This window comes from Homo sapiens, chromosome 1 (genome assembly GCF_000001405.40).
Source record: "Homo sapiens chromosome 1, GRCh38.p14 Primary Assembly".
Lineage (NCBI taxonomy): Eukaryota > Metazoa > Chordata > Mammalia > Primates > Hominidae > Homo > Homo sapiens.
This window is the reverse complement of record NC_000001.11, coordinates 111,932,290-111,950,547: the sequence shown is the minus strand read 5'-3', so window position 1 is coordinate 111,950,547 and position 18,258 is coordinate 111,932,290. Positions and strand designations below refer to the sequence as shown.

The 18,258-nt window shown below is 48.0% G+C and overlaps 1 protein-coding gene across 9 annotated transcripts in view, besides 1 other annotated feature; it reads left to right on the top strand.

Moving 5' to 3' along the window:
* The window catches only part of KCND3 (potassium voltage-gated channel subfamily D member 3), a 219,007-nt gene that overhangs the window by 39,121 nt on the left and 161,628 nt on the right, over nucleotides 1–18,258 (top strand). Inside the window, exon 3 of one of the 9 annotated variants that reach the window (XM_011541428.3) lies at nucleotides 16,384–17,918. The exons of the other annotated variants lie outside the window; for them this stretch is intronic. Coding sequence (XP_011539730.1) covers nucleotides 16,384–16,387 — 4 coding nt within the window. The 3' untranslated portion in view covers nucleotides 16,388–17,918. Of the gene's footprint in view, nucleotides 1–16,383; nucleotides 17,919–18,258 lie in introns of those variants that run through there. 9 annotated transcript variants of the gene reach the window in all.
* Nucleotides 12,601–13,101: an enhancer, noted in NCBI's record as "H3K4me1 hESC enhancer chr1:112480069-112480569 (GRCh37/hg19 assembly coordinates)". NCBI's record gives its function as "activates a minimal SCP1, AML or CMV promoter by ChIP-STARR-seq in primed H9 embryonic stem cells {active_cell/tissue: H9 hESC(primed)}" and the evidence as "EXISTENCE:reporter gene assay evidence [ECO:0000049][PMID:30033119]".

Genomic DNA, 18,258 nt, shown 5'->3' with positions numbered 1-18,258 from the left:
TTCAATAATTAATCTATTCAACAATTTTTATAGCACCTGCTGGGCACCAGGCACAGTGCTGCGGGCTGGATCGAGGGGAGAGCACGGTCAGGTGCCGGTCCTCAGGGAGTGAGGGGGATAAAGTCTTGCACTTGATCCAATCCGGGGCAGGGCAAAAGTGCTACCACAAGGACAGGCGGAAGGTGGTGTTGTCAAACAGTGGGTTACCAGCCCATTAGTAGGTCACAAAATTAACTTAGTGGGTCACGACCAGTATTTTCAAAAAAATTAAATAGAGCAGAGTAGAAATATCACAGAATGCATCACACTCATAAGGGGAAATGTTTAAAAAACTTTTGGCCAGGCACAGTGGCTCATGCCTGTAATCCCAGCACTTCGGGAGGCTGAGGCAGGTGGATCACCTGAGGTGAGGAGTTTGAGACCAGCCTGGCCAACGTGGTGAAGCCCCGTCTCTACTGAAAATACAAAAATGAGCCAGGTATGGTGGCATGCACCTGTAATCCCAGCTACTTGGGAGGCTGAGGCAGAAGAACTGCTCGAACCCGGGAGGTGGAGGTTGCAGTGAGCTGAGATCGGGCCACTGCACTCCAGCCTGAGCAACAGAGTGAGGCTCTGTCTCAAAAACAAAACAAAATAAAACAAAAACTTTTGTTTTCATTCTATATGTTGAGTGTGTGTGTGTGTTTATGTGTGTGATGTAAAATATATTTCTTTTTTGAGTCACAGTAAAAATATTTAGAAAACACCCATCCTTGGGAATCAAGAAAAGCTTCTTGGAAGGAATCACATGTTAAACCTGAAATATTAATGAAAGTTCATCAACCGGAAGGGTACAAAGATAGGAGCCTGTTCTAGGCAGAAGGAATCAACTAAAAATATGAGGGTGGGAGGGGGAAGGGGGAGAGAGAGAAATGCAATGAAACAAAAACAGAAAATTCATTTTTTAATTGTCCTACAAATAAAACAAGTATACTCCTGCTTCCTGCCCTTTTGTAGTGTTTGTCTTCTCCCTCTCTACCCCCTCACCTTTTCCTTACCCTTCTAAATCTGACCGTTTACTTTTCCCAGCCCAACTGAGAGGCTCTTGCCTGCAGGGCTCTTCTCTGGCTCTCCTGTTCTCTCTGGCTGTCTTCTGAGTGGCCCCAGTGCCAGCATCCAGCCCTAGGTTGCTCTTTTTCCTGCACCTCCGCGGGGTTTTAGAATTTGAAGTGCATTTTCACCTGCAGTCTCCTTTGAGTGTCCTGATAGCCACATTAGGTCAGCAGGACGTACCGTATTATCTCCACTTTACAAAAGAGAAACCAAGGCACCCGGAGATCCACCAAAGGCCCAGGCTCACTTTGCTGTGAGTGACACAGTCAGAACTATCATCCTACTTTCTATTCCCAGACAAAAGCATTTTATTTCCATTTAGTTGGACTTGCACATGTGATACTCACACCAGCCCTTCAGCCCAGTTGCAAGCCCCTGTGGGACAAAGGCTGCGTGTCATGCTTCTACACCTCCCACAAGCCTAGACACTCAGAGTGAGGCTCAGAAAGGCTTGTTGTGGTTTCCTGCCCATGCTGGAATATGGCATTGGCCCCCAAAGAAAAGATCTTCTTGATAGCCAGCCCTTCTATTGTTTGTGTTCTTCTTTGTTTGGACTTGCCCTCTCTTCTCTGCCTGCTGCTTGCTGCTCCTCCTTCTCTCACCTTCCAGAAGCCCTTCCCTTCTCGCCTATCCCTCCCTCATCTTCCCCACTTCCCTGTCCCTCCCTCTCCTGCTGTGCATGGTTGTCTGCTCACAGCTGTGATAAGAGGATCTTGCCCAGCCCTCCTGGCAGTGAGGAGGGCTAGACTGGGCCAGCTCCCCAGAGGGGAGCAGCAGGTCTGCTTGCAGCAGAGGGAAAAGACCCTGGCCACAGGCTTCCAGCTAATTGGTCCGAGGGTTTTTAAGCCTCTCTGGGGAAGTGACCTGTGCAGATGGGATAGGAACTCTCTCCAACCCAGGGGGAAAAAAGTGGGAGAACAGAAGAAAGAAGAAAGAGAAAGTAGAAGGCAGAACAGCCCTATGCTGTGGGGAAGGGAAGAGATAAATTCTATCCTTAAGTGTGGGCCAGAGTCCTGAGCACCTCCCTGGCACCTCCCAGGGCTGCCGCCTCCCTACGCCACCTCAGGAGGCTGGCTTTCTGCCCTGTGAATCACAGGCTCTGTGGGGAGTGATCTATTTGCTGCTAAGCACTTGTCTGTGGCTGCTTTTCCAGGAGCTGGAGTCATTTACAGATGGGAACAGCACTCATCTCTGGCAGGGGAGCCCATGGCCAGCACCAGCCCCGTGGCTTGAAATAGATCTTTCTGTAGAGGCAGAGCAGAGAGGGAGGCCACGCACAGGATAGGGGCATGGTGGGGCCCATTTGCCCTGTGGGCATGATGGGGCAGCCTCCCCAAAGCACACAGATAGGACTTTCCTTGGCCATCCTTGTACCCCAGGGTACACTAGGAACTCACTAGGTATTCATGGAAGGAATGAGTGGTGGCTGAACAGGGCTCCTCGGAGGTGAGGCCTGTACAACCTGTCCCTCCTCACTTCCCCCTGACTGCTTACCTGACCCTCCTCACATATATACACACATAGTCCCCACTGGAGAAGTGTCATCGTACCCAAGACAAGGGTTAGAAAGCCAAACACAGTAATACAAGCAAATAAACAAAAAACTAATCGAACAACAATTATCATCCCAGCCCAGGATTTCACAGGTCCCTCTGACAATTCTTAAACAGCTGGTCTACCGATATAGGTTATTTTTTAGCCATTATGAGAATACCTGGAGTTCTTCCAAACCTCAGCATCCCTCTTGGAAGCCCCAGACAGATGAAGAAAAGCCCCCACAATGAAAATGCCTTCTTGTTTTAGCTGTTTTGATTGACCATTCACCTGACAGAGGATTGCTTCAAGAACACATGGTCTCATGTGTTGAAAACTGGGGTTTGAGTCCTAGTCTCACCAATTACTAGCTGTGTGATTTAGGGCAAGTAATTTAACCTCTCCAAGTCTGAACTTCTTCCTCTATGAGATGGGAATAACACAAATACAATTTTCACATCACTAAAGTGAAAATTAATTGAGATGTTTGAGAAAGTACATTATACATTTTAAAGTGCTGTGGAAATGTTCTGTTTATGTATTGCCCCATTTATGTAAGCTCCATGAGGGCAAGAACCTTGTTTTACTCACTGTTATATCCCTAGCACCTGGAATGGTGCCTGGCACATGGTAATCATTCACATGTTGAGTAAATTAATAAATGAATGACTGGTTATCCAGAACACAGGAATTGGGCAAAATTACCTAACCTGGAATATAGCCTAATTACCTTCTGTGGAGAAAGGGACTAGTCCTGCCATCAGAAACAATTAATAAAATGGTACCAGTCTATCAATAATTACTTTGAATGTAAATAGATTAAATTCTCTAATCAAATGGCATAGAGTAGCTGAATGGCTTAAAAAAAAACAAGACCCACCTCTATGCAGCCTACAAGAGACTCACTTCACCTTAAAGGATACTCAGACTGGAAGTGAAAGGATGGAAAAAGATATTCCATGCAAATAGGAACCAAAAGAGAGCAAAAAAAGGGACTAATCCTGAGTCTGCCATTGTATCTGCAGAGCCTAATAGAGTTCCTGATCCATGCAGTTCTTTCTTATGCATTTGTTATTGATTGGCAGATTCACTGGTTGAACAGCTATCTCCTTGGCCTTGCCTACCCAGTGGGGCCCCCATATGTGGTGTGGGAACTAAGACCAGCTCTGGCAAGATATGGATAAACCCCCTGCAAACCTGAAGAGGAACACAACCTTCAGACTTCTCACTTTTCAGTATTTAATAATAATCTGCAAGTCTCTGGGGGAGTATTAAAAGGAGAATGTGGTATTCTCAGTCCAATGAGGTTAGAAAATAAGGAAACAGGAATGCACTAAGCCAGGGGGGTCTGGAGACTTGGGAGTGATCCTGGCAGGCCCTGGGGCTGGAGGCTTTGAATGGTCATCAAGAAAGGCCGGCTGCCCTTCCCAGTGCCAAGGAGGGCATGAAGGACTCAGACAACATTGCTCCCATCTTGTCTACTCAACAACTGCCACATGGAGCACTGACTATGCTCTCAGCCCTTTGCTCAGCACATGGTCTACGAGAAACAGTGGCTCAGTGTTTTGTTCCATTTCTGAATGGAATGCCTTTCCCCTTGCCCACGACTTGAACACCAACTCAGACTAGGAATTATGGAGCCTTTCCTGGCCTTCCCCAAACTCTTTCCCCCAACCCTCCCTATGCACACAGGACATTATGAGTCACCTCCTGCTTTGTGTGTCCACTGTACTCTGAGCATGGGCCCACCACAGCCTTGATAACACTTTGTTGCACTTACATATAACAGCTGAGCTGATAATTTATTACCAATAACAGCTACCATTTATCAAGTACCTACTATGTGCCAAGCACTGGGTCGAGTGCTGTACATCATTATGTACACACTTAATACTCACAACACCTAGTGATGTTGGTAGTGTTCTCCCCTTTTCTCAGATGAGGAACTAAAGCTTGTCTGAGGTCACAGGGCTAGTAAGTGACACGGTGGAGCCAGGACCAGAGCCCAGTCCATCTGACGCCAAAGCCCATGCTCCTTGCACCACTCATACAGCATGGAGACAGGCTGCAGGGCCAGTGCACCAAGACCTCAGAGGACCCTAATTGGTGTGGGCATCAGACACCAAAGGAAGGCAAGTTCTTAGTAAACATCACCCTGCAACACTGATGACAGCCCAGGACCCTACTCAAGGTTCTTGTTTGGCAGAAAACCCAGCTGCTGGGGACTTTTGAGCACAGAAGCTGAGGCAAGAGCCCTGGAACTTCAGGGCTCTGAGAAAGTGATGAAGGGGCAAGGCTGAGACCCGGCCAAAGCCTGAATCGATCATTTCCACACAAATGGCTGTCCTGGGCCAGTGAGAGCAGCTGCCAAGCTCCCCCGTGAGCCTCAGTGCATTCATCTGTGGAATGGGCAGTGACAGTGCCTGCTTCGTGGGATTGTTGTGAGGGTTAATGGGGGTAGGCCATAGATGTAAATCTCTCAGTACAGTGTCTGAAACTGGCAGTGCTCCGTTAGTGGGAGATAGCCATAGAAGGGCCCATGGGATTTGCCCTTGACGTTGAAGGCTGCACCATGCATTCCAAACTTCTATACTAATCCAGTGTGAATTTGTCTTCCATGAAACCCCTCCTGTGCATGCCGAGCCACATGAAGTTGCCACCTGGGGTTGTGCTGGTGTACCTCGAACAAGGGCATCAGAGGCAAGTGGTGGCATTCTGCTCAACAAATCATCTGCCCTGCAGGAGGAGGGGTGCCCTGGGGCTGCCTTTACTCCTTCTCGCTGACTTCTGCTCTCCACAGGTGTCCAGTGTGTCCGTGGGTGGGGCTGTGTGGTTCAAGACAGTCCCACCACCTCCCCTCTACCACTTGACCTCCTTCCTTCCTCAAATATCTGTTGAGGACCTACTATGTGTTGGGCACAGCTCTGGCACTGAGGCCCCTGCCCCATCATCATGGGGCTCATGGTTGAGTGACAGAAGCAGGCAGACAATTGGCAGCACAGCACCATGTGTGCCAAGGCTGAGCGGCGGTGAAGACAGGGAGTTCATGCTCACTGCATCGCCTGGTTCAACCTGGGCCTCCGGTAATGGTAATGGCTGAAATGCCCATATTTGTTTTCATTTCCCTCCCCTTGGAGTGTAATCACCCCCAGGGAATATATTCACGTGTTCAAAAAAGAACATTTACTGAGTTCCTTGTATGTGCTAGGCACTGCGGGAGACACACAAAGACCAGTGAGCCAACATCAGGGCAATAGAGGGTGACAGGGAGATGACACGTGAACAGATCCATTACAGGGCAGCATGCACATGCCCCCACACAGCCTGCTGGGAGGCCCCAGGGTCCAGGCAGCATGCCCAGGAGGGGCAGCTGGGACTCACCCTGTGCCCAGGGCATGGCTGGCCGGGCTTCACCTCGCAAAGGTCTACTGGGGGAAATGACAGAGGGAGTCTTGGGCCAGACGGAGCCTCCAGAGGGAGTCTCCTTGGGAAGGGCCTCCTTGGGGGTCCTGCTAAGCTGCTGTCCCACTGTTGCAATCAAGGGCACCATTTGGCTTTGTAATTGTATCTTAACCTTTCGTTTATCGGAGTGGAATGACAATGGCAGGTGTGTAAGCCAGCAGCACAGCCATTGCCAGCTCTGAGCGGGCTTCTTGTGGCCTGCGCCCCACTCTTTCCTCTCCCCTCAGCCGGGCCTCCCTATGGGTCTCCACAAGGGACAGAGGGACAGAGGGGCCTGGGCTTCCCTCTACCTCCCCTGCAATCCACCCCTTCTCACCCCCTTAGAGAGGCAGCCACTTGATTGGATTTTTAATGTAGTTTTCCCCTCCTCTTTTATATTTACATAATAATAAGTCTAATAAATAGTTGTCAAGAAGATGGATGAGGGCGCTGTCTTTATGCTTTCCTGACAGATTTAGTCCTTTATAAAACTTGCCAAAGCAGAGGCTTTTCTGCAGCTGATAAAAGGTAATCAGTGTGCGGCCCCGGCTGGGTTTAGCTTGGAGTAATGGGAAAGAAAACGAAACTTGAAGCAGTTTCTGGATTTGGGTCCTGGCCATGCCACTCCTGGGCCGAGTCAACTTCCTCAGCATCAGTTTCTTCCTCTGTAAAATGGGGTGAATAATGCCTGTCCTGCCTGCTTCATGGGGCAGAAGGACTGTGAGAAAGCACCTTGTAAAGGCAGATGCATCATCTGAGTGCAGTGAACACATCTGGATGGCCTCCTGTTCTCACCAGCCTCTTCCCATCTAGGCTCGGGACTGTCCAGGTGATGCACAAGAGGCATGACCCAGCAACACGCTGTGCAAATAGAACCCTTCTTCTAGGAGAAAGGGCAACGGCTAGCCCAGCCCCTGAGGAAACATCAGGAGACTTAGGTTCTAGCCTTAGGTCTGCTTCTGCCTTACTGTGTGACTTTGGACAAGTCACTCGCCCTCTCTGGACCACAGCCTCCTCCCCTGTAAGATGAGAGTATTCCATGAGCCAGTGTCTTAAGTTTCCTCCAGCTTGAACTGCCTCTAGTCCAGTGGGCAGGGGAGAGTGAAACAGTGCTCTGAGGAGATGCTGGGGCTGCAGGCTGGGTGAGGCTGGGCATGGTGCGCTCCATGGAGAAGGAGCTGAGTGGAAACAGGTGGGGGCCAGGGCCCCTCTGCCCTATTTGCAGCTGCTCTTCTTGGCCAGGATTCAGCCAGGGTCCTCTGGCTGCATCTGAACTCATACTGGGGTGTAGCTTTTATTACTTCCTTCTCCATTAGAATGCCACCCCGCCCCGTCCATCCAGCCTGAGATGCAGCCTCCCCACACTGAACACTCACTTCACTCCTGGGTGTCCCCTTCTCCCGGACAGTTTGCCCTTTCCTGCTCGCAGCTCACCTCTGCTAGAAGTTGTCCCCATGAGTGCCTCCTCCTGTCTTCTCCGCATTCCCTCCAGCACAGCATTCATGGGTTTTAGCTTCGGTTCTTCATCCAGGAGAGAGGCCAGGTGTATGGTGCTTAAGAACATTTCCACTTTTGTGTCAGAAAGAAGGCCGGGAAGTCCAAGTTCTGCACTTCCTAGCTGACCTTGAGAAAGCCATTTAAATGGAGCCAGAGCCTCATTTCCTCCTCTGGAAAATGGAAATGCTATAGTTCCTTCCTGACTTAAAATGGAAGCTCCACCCCCTTTCCTGCTTTATTTTCTCCCTAACACATCTCACCCTGTGTCTTGGTTTGGGTTCCCCTGAAAACAGAGCCAGGACCAAGACTTGGGGCGGCAATCCCAGGTGGCAGGCATGAGACAGGAAGGTGGAGAAGCCAGCGATGGGTGTAGTGAGTTGGTTATCCGGAGGGCAGGAGGGGCTTGGCCCACAGGCCTCAGAGACCTGTAGGAACTGTGGGGACAGTGCCTGGAACATTTGACTTTTGTCCCCACTGGCTGTTCCCTTGGCTCAGCAAAGCAGAGCAACCTTGAGGTGCCTGCCTGGCATGGACTCGGGCATCCCACCACCCCTGCACTCAGTGACATGGGCAGGAACTATGGCACAGCGCCCCAGTCAGCCACCCCATTTGATTCTCTACTAGATGTTTTTCCTATTTGTTTTACCATCTGTCTTGCTCCCCCGCCACACAAAAGTGCAAGCCCCACAGGGACGGGGGATTGTGGCTATTCACTACTGTGCCTAGAACTGTGCCTGGTATATTGCAGATACTCCATAAGTATGTGTTTGAATGAATAGATGAGCAGATTAAAAGGAATAATGCACATACAATTTTTAGTACAGGACCTGGCTCGTAGTACATGCCCAATGAACATGTGCTATTTCCATTATTGAATTATGTGGACGTGGCTTGTGCCCACCAGGGTTCAGGTGGGCAAAAGGGCAGAGGTATTTTTCTCTTATACTCCAAGTCCCTGGAGCAGGATAAGCTGATAGATTGCAGGAGCCTGTGAAAAGCAGCAGCCCCGTGCAAGGCAAGGTGATCGGATGATTATTGGCAGCAGCTCAAGGCTCTGATTCCCTGACCCCCAATCCACATGGCCTCTGATGGGCTGACTGATGGGGCCTCTTGCGCCCCGCCCTAGGGAACACTTGTCCTTGCTAATTGTATGTCAAAGAAAAGCTGTTTCCTATGTCAAAGGCAGTTTCTGTTCTTCTGTCAGAAATTCAAAGACCATATTTCAGTTGCAAGCGGGGAGACAGTATGCCTAGAGGTTCCCCTTCCCAGGGTCAGGGCTGCGGGGTCCCCCTCGTTGGCTCCCTGCTTGGGACTGTAGGAGCAGCCCTGCCTCTGGCTGCCTGTCATCTGCTGGGGATTACCATGCCATTTGTTCTAATTCTTGTTGACATTTCATTTCACACATTATTAAATGAACCTCTCCAGAAGGGATGGGAGAGAAGTTTGCTTTAGTGAGAGAGGAAAAGTAATGTGTACTCGAGGGTAAAACAAGGCCCTGATTTATTTCTGTGATAAAAACCCCAGTAGATATGGAGCTAAGCCCCCCAGCTCTGGGGAGCTGGACGGAGGGTTTGGGCTCTCCCAGATTATATATCCCTGAAGACCTGTTCAGCCCTGCTGCTTGCAGAGAGACTGGGGCAGGTGGGGAGGTAGGAGGGGGCCTGCAAGGGGGTCCCACCAGCAGAAGGCACCAGATTACCTCCTCACAAAGAGACACAGAGCCGACACCCTTCCACAATGTTGGCTTTTCTGGGTGCCTAGCAGTGAGAAGTAGAAAATGTGTCTGGTTTTTTTTTTCTGTGAAGTTGGTTACCAGCTCTGCAGAGGCCCTGCTCTGATTTTTAACCCTGACATAGCAGCAGCTGCCACTCATCTGAGGTAAGTTTGTCAGAGCAGGACAGTCTTCCTTTCTTCTTCCCCTCCTGCCCCGCTGCTTTCCTTTGAGAAGTATTTATTGAACATCTACTTTGTGCCAGGCTCTGTTTTGGGAGCAAAGAACAGCAGTAAACAAGGCAAACACAGTCCCTGCTCTCATGATACTTACACAAAGGAGAGAACCATGAAGGATTCAGTTACCACAAGTGTTCAAAACTTTGGTTGTACATTGGAAACACCAGGGTGTGTATGTGGGGTGGAAGGTGGAGGGGGAGAGATTAAAAAATGTGAATGCCTGGGTCTCCACACCAGAGGCTCTGATGTCATCGGTGAGGGGTGCAGTGGACCGTTGGCACTTTTTACTTCTCCCCAGATGATTATCATGTGCAGCAAGTTGGAGAACGATTGCATGACAATGTGGTAAATGGTATGAAAGAGGATTCAAAACTGCGTTGAGACAATAAATCACCTTGTGGGAGGCTACAGTAAGCAAAGCAGCATGGTACTGGTACCAAAGCAGATACATAGACCAATGGAACAGAGCAGAGGCCTCAGAGAGAATGCCACACATCTACAACTATCTGATCTTTGACAAACCTGACAAAAACAAGCAATGGGGAAAGAATTCCCTCTTTAATAAATGGTGTTGGGAAAACAGGCTAGCCATATGCAGAAAACTGAAACCGGACCCCTTCCTTACACCTTATACAAAAATTAACTCAAGATGGATTAAAGACTTGAACGTAAGACCTAAAAGCATAAAAACCCGAGAAGAAAACCTAGGCAATACCATTCAGGACATAGGCATGGGCAAGGACTCCATGACCAAAACACCAAAAACAATGGCAACAAAAGCCAGAATTGACAAATGGGATCTAATTAAACTAAAGAGCTTCCGCACAGCAAAAAAAAAACTATCATCAGAAAGAATAGGCAACCTACAGAATGGGAGAAAATTTTGCAATCTGTCCGTCTGACAAAGGGCTAATATCCAGAATCTACAAGGAACTTACAAAAAAAAAAAAAAAAAAAAAAACCATCAAAAAGTAGGCGAAGGATATAAAGAGACACTTCTCAAAAGAAGATATTTATTCGGCCAACAAACATATGAAAGAAAGTTCATCATCACTGGGCATTAGAGAAATGCAAACCAAAACCACAATGAGATACCATCTCATGCCAGTTAGAATGGCGATCATTAAAAAGTCAGGAAACAACAGATGCTGGAGAGGATGTGGAGAAATAGGAATGCTTTTACACTGTTGGTGGGAGTGTAAATTAAATTAGTTCAACCATTGTGGAAGACAGTGTGGCGATTCCTCAAGGATCTAGAACCAGAAATACCATTTGACCCAGCAATCCCATTACTGGGTATATACCCAAAGGATTAGAAATCATTTTACTATCAAAACACATGCACACGTATGTTTATTGTGACACTATTCACAATAGCAAACACTTGGCACCAACCCAAATGCCCATCAATGATAGACTGGATAAAGAAAATGTGGCACATATACACCATGGAATACTATGCAGCCATAAAAAAGGATGAGTTCATGTCCTTTGCAGGGACATGGATGAAGCTGGAAACCATCATTCTCAGCAAACACGGGAACAGAAAACCAAACACAGAATGTTCTCACTCATAAGTGGGAGTTGAACAATGAGAACATATGGGCACAGGAAGGGGAACATCACACACCCGGGCCTGTTGGGGGGTGGGGAACTACAGAAGGGCTAGCATTAGGAGAAATACCTAATATAGATGACAGGTTGATGGGTGCAGCAAACCACCATGACATGTGTATACCTATGTAACAGACCTGCACGTTCTGCACGTGTATCCCAAAACTTAAAGTATACTAAAAAAAATTAAAAATAAATAAATCACCTTGTGGGGCCTGAGGGTTTGGAGGATGCCTTGAGGAAGTCGTGTTTGGCCTGAGATCCAGGACAGAGCTTCTCAAATGTTAATGCGTCTACCACAGACCTTCTGAGGATCTTGCTAAGTGCAGATTCAGATTCAGACGGTCTGAGTGAGGCCTGTGATTCTTCTAATAAGTTTCCTGGTGATGCCAGTTCTGCTGGTCTGGGAACCACACATTGAGCAGCCAGAATCTAAAGAATGATTAGGAATGACCTAGGCAGTTGGGGTATAAGTACAGCATTGGAGCTGCAGGGGTTCCCTGTTTAGCCCTTCCTTCCTTTGTGTGAGGTCTTAGCTTGGCTCCCTCCTCTGCTCAGGACCCAGTGATGCCTCCTTTCACTTTGAGTAAAAGCCAGAGTCCTTGCTGTGGCTGGCACATCCCTGCTCCCTCTCTGGGATTATTGACATTACTCTCTCTCTTGCTCTGTGCAGTCCTGGCGGCCTCCCTGCTGTTCTTCTCTTTAGCCAAGCACGTTCCTGCCTCAGGGCCTTTGCAGTTGCTGCTTCCTCTCCCTGGACCCTCTTCCTCAGATAACCTTACTTCTTTCAAGTTTCCATTCAATGTCCACTGATGGAAGAGGCATTCCTTTCACACCCTAGATAAAATTTGCATCCCCACTGCCGCTGTCTCTATCCCCTTCCCCCGTGTTGTTCTTCATAGCAGTTATCACCATCTGACATAGTTTTTCTTATTGGTGATCTAGCTCCCCAGCTCTCCAAGAAAGCAGGGACTTCACTGCTTTATTTCCTATTACATTCTGACTCTAGCCTGGCACATAGAAGGTGCTTAGTAAACATTTGTTAAATAAATGACTAAGGGTAGGTTTCATGTTCATACATGAACTACAATAGTGTCTGGCAGGAAATGGACACTCAATGCAGGTTGAATATGAGAATGAATGGGCAAATGAACAAACCAACATACTCTAGACTCAGCTCAGACCTCGGCCAGAGGCAGGTCACTTCCCCTCCCTGGTCCTGGATGTCACTGTCTGTAAAATGGAAGGCTGGGTTTGATGATTTCCAGGGTTTCTTCCATCACTAACAGTCAATGATTCTGTTTTTATGAGGGCTTAAGTCAGTGAGGATACCTGTTTGGCTGCAGTGAAATAGCCTTCTGGGGAGAAGTGAGCTGAAATGTCGAGAAGTCAGGTTGAGGTTAAACTAGAGGTGGCTTTGAAGGCTGGGCTTCAGACTTCACCTTCCTTCCAAAGGCAACAAGGGGTCACTGAAGGTTGAGTGGGAGAGTGGCATGATCAATGTGGTAACTTTAGAAAAGCTAACTGAGCAGAACAGACTGGGTGGAGGAGCAGGGCGATTATGCCTCTGGCCAGCTCTCCATCTTGGCTCCCCAGCCCAGAATGTGTGTTCAGGCCTACCCAGGGAATGGATGGAGAGGCTGGTAGACCCATTTCTAGGCCATGAATTCCAGCTAAGGGCCTGTCCCCTTTTCCTTGGCCATTCCTGGGAATGGAGACTGAGTGGCCAGGAAGTTCCTGGACTTTATGCCCTGGCCTCGTCCCTCTCTGATGGCTACACTGTTTTATGCCTGCCTGTCTTACACCTCACTGTAATAGACTTGTTACAATGAGCCAGAAGCGTTCTGAAAGGCATGAGCCCCAGTGTGGAGCAGTCCCCTGGCCTGTCGGGGGCATCTGCTTGAATCTCATTTCTACAGCAGACATTCTTTTCGTCCTCTGCTACAACCAGCAGGCTCTGTGGGCCAGGCCTCCACCCACCTTCCCCCAGGGAGTCTGATGACTCGGGGCATGGCTGGTGGAATGGAAAAGCGCCTGGGGCTGGTCAGTCTACAGCAGGATCAGCATGAATCCTAATGCTGCCTGTGGAGGGGTTGCCTGGGGTGGCCAGAGAGGTCACTGTGTCTGTTTCCAGGAAGAGAATGCTTGGAACCTCTGGGAACTCAGACTCCAGCTCACCAAGTCCATGATGGACTCATGCTTTCCCTCTCCTACCCTCCCCCAAAACCTGCTCCTCTCCCTTGTTCCTTATCTCAGGAAATGGCCCATTGCCTCTCTAGGATGTCAGCCCAGCTTGGGACTTACCCAGACAACTCCCTCTCCCCACACCCAGATCCATCAATGTCTGCCTACTGTTCGTACCTTTTAAATGTTTATGCATTCTCTCCTGAGACCCTTATCATTGATCAGGCAAAATTATTCCACTAGCCTTGCAACTGGCCTCCCAGTCTCTAGTCTCACCCCCATCCAACCATCTCATGATGAGTTGCAAAGATCATTCATTAGCCATTTCATTCAACAAACATTGAGTGGCTCATATGTACCAGAAATGTGCTAGGCACTGGAGATGCAGTGAACAGAAAAGCCCAGTGTCTAGATGGAGAGACAGTGCCCCCAAATCACTTGGATAATGATAAAATTCCAATTGGATTTAGAAGCACTGTGGTGGAAAGGAAGGAGGCCTGAGAGTGCTTCACAGAGGGAGCAGGGACGTTTCCCTGAGTAGTTAGGATAGGACTTTCAGTGGCCTCTCACCCACACAGTGAAGCCAAGATCTTGGCAGGGTGGCCAGGGCCTTCTCTTCTTTTCTGACTGCTGCTTCCCACACCAGCCTCAACTCTTGCCTGTCCCGCCGCATGCCTTGATGATACCAAGCAACCCTGTCCACCCTCCATTTCCTGGTGCCCAGCACCCTTTGCTCTTACTGTTCCCTCTACCTAGAATGCCATTTTCGCCTTCCTCTCTGGTCACTGTGCCTTTATCCTTTAAGACTCAGACCCTCTTGCAGGAAGCCCACCTGGTCCTCTGTTTCTGCACTGTGATCAAACCTACTTTGTCATATTTTTAATCTGTTCTAGGGTCTGCTTGCTCCACTAGGCCCTTATTCCTCCCTGGGGAGCCCTCTGCTCACCAATGCTGGCACGTTGCAGGGACTTGGTAAATATTATTAAGCTAAAAATGTCTGAGCTGGGACCAGCCTCACCAGTGGTAGATTGCAAGCTCCCCACGGACACAGCCAGTCTTCAAACTTGGGGTCTCTCCATCTCTTTACTGAAATACAAGCAGTATTATTGAAATACATACAGGGGCAGTCTGTGCATGCAATGTGACTGTGTGTAATCAGCAAATTCATGGAAACTACAAAAAGCACAATTTATCAGGATATTTCCATGTTTTCTGCATGAATTATACAGAGCAGGTTTGTGCTATGAGTTTTGCTATTTTTATAAACCAGTCTTGCAGAGTTTATTTTCCCTCAGCACATTTGTTGGGATGATTACATAGGGGGCATGTGTGTATGTGTGTATAATTGAAAAGTGGATTGGGGGTGTTCTGTGCTCCCTATGAGTTGGAATGAGGTCGGGATTCCAGGAGGATGCTCTTGAACTCTCTGGATCTGCAGTCAGGGCTATAGGACCCTTGGCCCCTCGGCCCCTCTTCCACAAACATGAACAGGGTAAGTTTGCCCCTCAATTTGCAGGAGAGACAGGTCTGTTCTGGTGCCAAAATTAGAGGAGCTAATGCGGGGAAGGACTTAGTACAGTTCCTGGCACACTTGAGTGTTCAGCAAAAGATAGAGGCTGTCACCATCTCCATCATTATCATTATTGTTGCCATTTTAATTATTTAATATTTCATTATTAATCATTGCCAAGTGTATCACCAAAATACTAAAGGTTTGCATCTCCCAGGGGAAAAAGGACATGTTTTTCCTCTCTGGGCAATTATAATCAAATAAGGAAATTAAAAGGATTTTATTTATGTAGCTCTCTCTCCATGTAAATGAGTAAAAACAGGCAAGTCAATTATCTGGGAGTAAGGGAAGCAGGTGGTTGCACAAATAATCCACAAGCCAAGAGAGTGGGCTCTAAAATCAATTCAGAAAGCTCCCTGCCATCAAGCCAGGGAGCATGACGTAGGTTGGGCTGGACCAGTTTGAAAGGGTTTGGTTGATGAGGTATACAAAAGACTTTTTTATAAGGTTATTAAATATATAAAAGGTTCCCAATGGCAGTGACTCTATGAATGATATTTCAATAAAGTTCGTCCTTGGGAATTTGAGAATCTAATGAAAACCATAAGACTTGTGTTTATGGACATACCCCATGTTCAAGTATGCCATATAGATAGATGGATTTGGCTTTAAGTCTGGTGACCTCCAGTGATTACTCAGTTTAGAGTCAAGAAGCAAAGGTGACATCCATCAGTCAACTGATCTAGATAAATAAATCAGAAGAATAGCTAATAGTTGTTGAGTGCCAACCACATGCCAGGCATTAATGTAAGTGCTCTATCTGTATTAACTTGTTTAATAATCACAGCAGTCTCACATGACTTAGATACTATTAGTATCTCCATTTTATGGGTGAGGAAACTGAGGTATAAGCAGTTTATAGCACTTGCCCAAATTCACCGAACTGCTAGATGACCAAACCAGGATACAGACCCAGACTCCAGAAGCTGTGCATGCAACTGCCCCATTATTTGCTTCACTGCCTGCACTGTCCACACCCAGATTCAGAGTACGCACACACATGCACAAACATACCAAACATGCATGCACACACTCACATGCCTACTTGGTGGCAGATTTACACTCCTTTTTCTAAGAATGATAATGGCTTTTCCAGAACATACACGAGTCTGGCGGGGCGCTGGTCTGGGATTAATTTACAAATTCCCCGTGGATTAATTTAGACAACCGCTTTCACCTGGGCCTTCTATGTCTGGGGCTGAGGTGCTTGCTGTGGCCAGCATCTCCTAGCTCTGGTTTCTCTGATCCTATTGGTCATCAGCTGCCCTGATTCCTTAGCAAGCAAGAGTTTTTGAGAGATGTGAAAACTGCTTGGGCTGAGCCCCACGTCTGATGAGTCTGTGCCTTTGACTCAGATGTCTTGTCATGAGGCCAGAGATGGAATGGGCTGGGGGCTGGGGTGTCTGGAGTGTCTGGAGGATGGGAGGGAGTCTGCTCTCTTGGGCAGGCCTTTCAGCTGAAGCCTCCACCCCAACCCTGCCTCCCACCTCCCACTTTTACAGGTGAGGAGACAGCAACCTGGCGACTTGGAGTGACCTACCCAGAACCACACGGGGAGAAGCTCGGCTGCCACAAACTGACCTGCTGAGCCCCCGCACCACCTTCCCCAGGGCCTTTGGGAGGGAGAGAGTAAGCACTTAGCTAGTGGGATGGGTCCAGGAGTTGTCATTTTTTCTCCTTCAATTTGCTTCTGTCAACAGATGCTTGATCTGTGCCTCCTGCCTATAGCACGGTATCTAGGTTGGGGAAGGGTTGGGATTGTTTTTAAAGTCTTGGGCAGTGTAGACAGATCAAGTACTTTAATCCAGATTACTGAAGTGCTTTTGTGCCATGACTGATAAACAAGTGCAAATTGATTAAGTACAGACAGTGTAGGGAAATGTGGAGGAGATGTCTAGTGAAAGTCACTAGAATTCTGTGGGTTTAATTATGGAAAGCTTCCTGGAGGAGATTTAAGATGAGGATCAGGAAAACCCATCAGCTTTGAAAGGTGGAGCTTGGCCTCCCTGCCTGCTTTCCCACATGCATGCCACTCTTGATTTGGTCCTGCTTCTTGGATGCCTCTCCAGCTCCATTTAGAGCCCCTTTAGAGGCCCCTCCCCAGAGCAGCCTCCCCTGACATCTTAAGAGATGCTGCAATAATTTCGTGAATGCTCTTCTGCCAGGATTCAGACTGAGGCTCCTAACAGGACACTCAATGTGGAATGGTAGGGGTAAGTTTTTCTCTGGACTCTGCCCCTGACCTCCTTTATAAGCTAACACTCACAAAGTACTTACTAAGTGACTGGGGCTGTGCTAAGCAGTTTCTGTGCTTCATATGCCTCGCACAGTGACTGGTGAGTTGTTGGTACTTGTATTAATCCAACCTCAGGCTGCCATGAAGAAATACCAGAGACTGGGTAATTTATAAAGAAAAGAGGCTTAATTGACTCACAGTTCCACATGACTGGGGAGGCCTCAGGAAACTTACAGTCATGGCAGAAGGCACCTCTTGACAGGGTGGCAGGAAAGAGAATGAGTGCCAATAGGGGAAATGCCAGATGCTTACAAAACCATCAGATCTCATGAGAACTCACTATCACGAGAGCAGCATGGGGGAAACCGCCCCCATAATCTGATTACTTCCACCTGGTCCCACCCTTGACACATGGGGATTATGGGGATTACAATTTAAGATGAGATTTTGGGTGGAGGCACAGCCAAACCATGTCAGTACTCTATAAATGTTTGCTGATGAATGAAAGTCAAGCAGCTAATAGATGGCTGGGTCTGGACTGGAACCCAGTGCTCCGAGACCCCAGAGCAATGCATACCACCATATCAGATCACACTCTGTTCTTTTTAAATCTCCAGGCCACCTGTTGGCAAACTTTTAGCCTAAAATGCAATTTCTAGTGGGGACTTCCTGCAGGGCCAGCTTTTGGGTAGATGAGCAGAATCAGTAGCACGGAGTTGTTGCAAAACAAGAAACCAACATGCTATAGTATGTGTGAACTTTGAGGACAGTGCTGGGTGAAATAAACAAGTCACAAAAAGACAAACTGTATGATTCCATTTATATGAGGTATCTAGAGTAGTCAGATTCTTAGAGTCAGAAAGTAGAATGGTGGCTGCCAGGAGCTGAGTGCAGAGGAATAGGGAGTTAATGTTTAATGGGTACAGAGTTTCAGTGGAGGAAGATGAAAAAGTTCTGAAGATGGATAGTGGTGATGGCTGCACTGCAGTGTGAATGCACTTAATGCCACTGCATTGTAAGCTTAAAAAATGGTAAAAACAAACCAACAAAACCCAAGAGACCCAGCCCTTAGCACAAGTGAAGAGGGTGGAGCTGGTTAAGAGCTGGCCCTTGTGGGAGGCAGGATAAAGCCCCCAGTGGT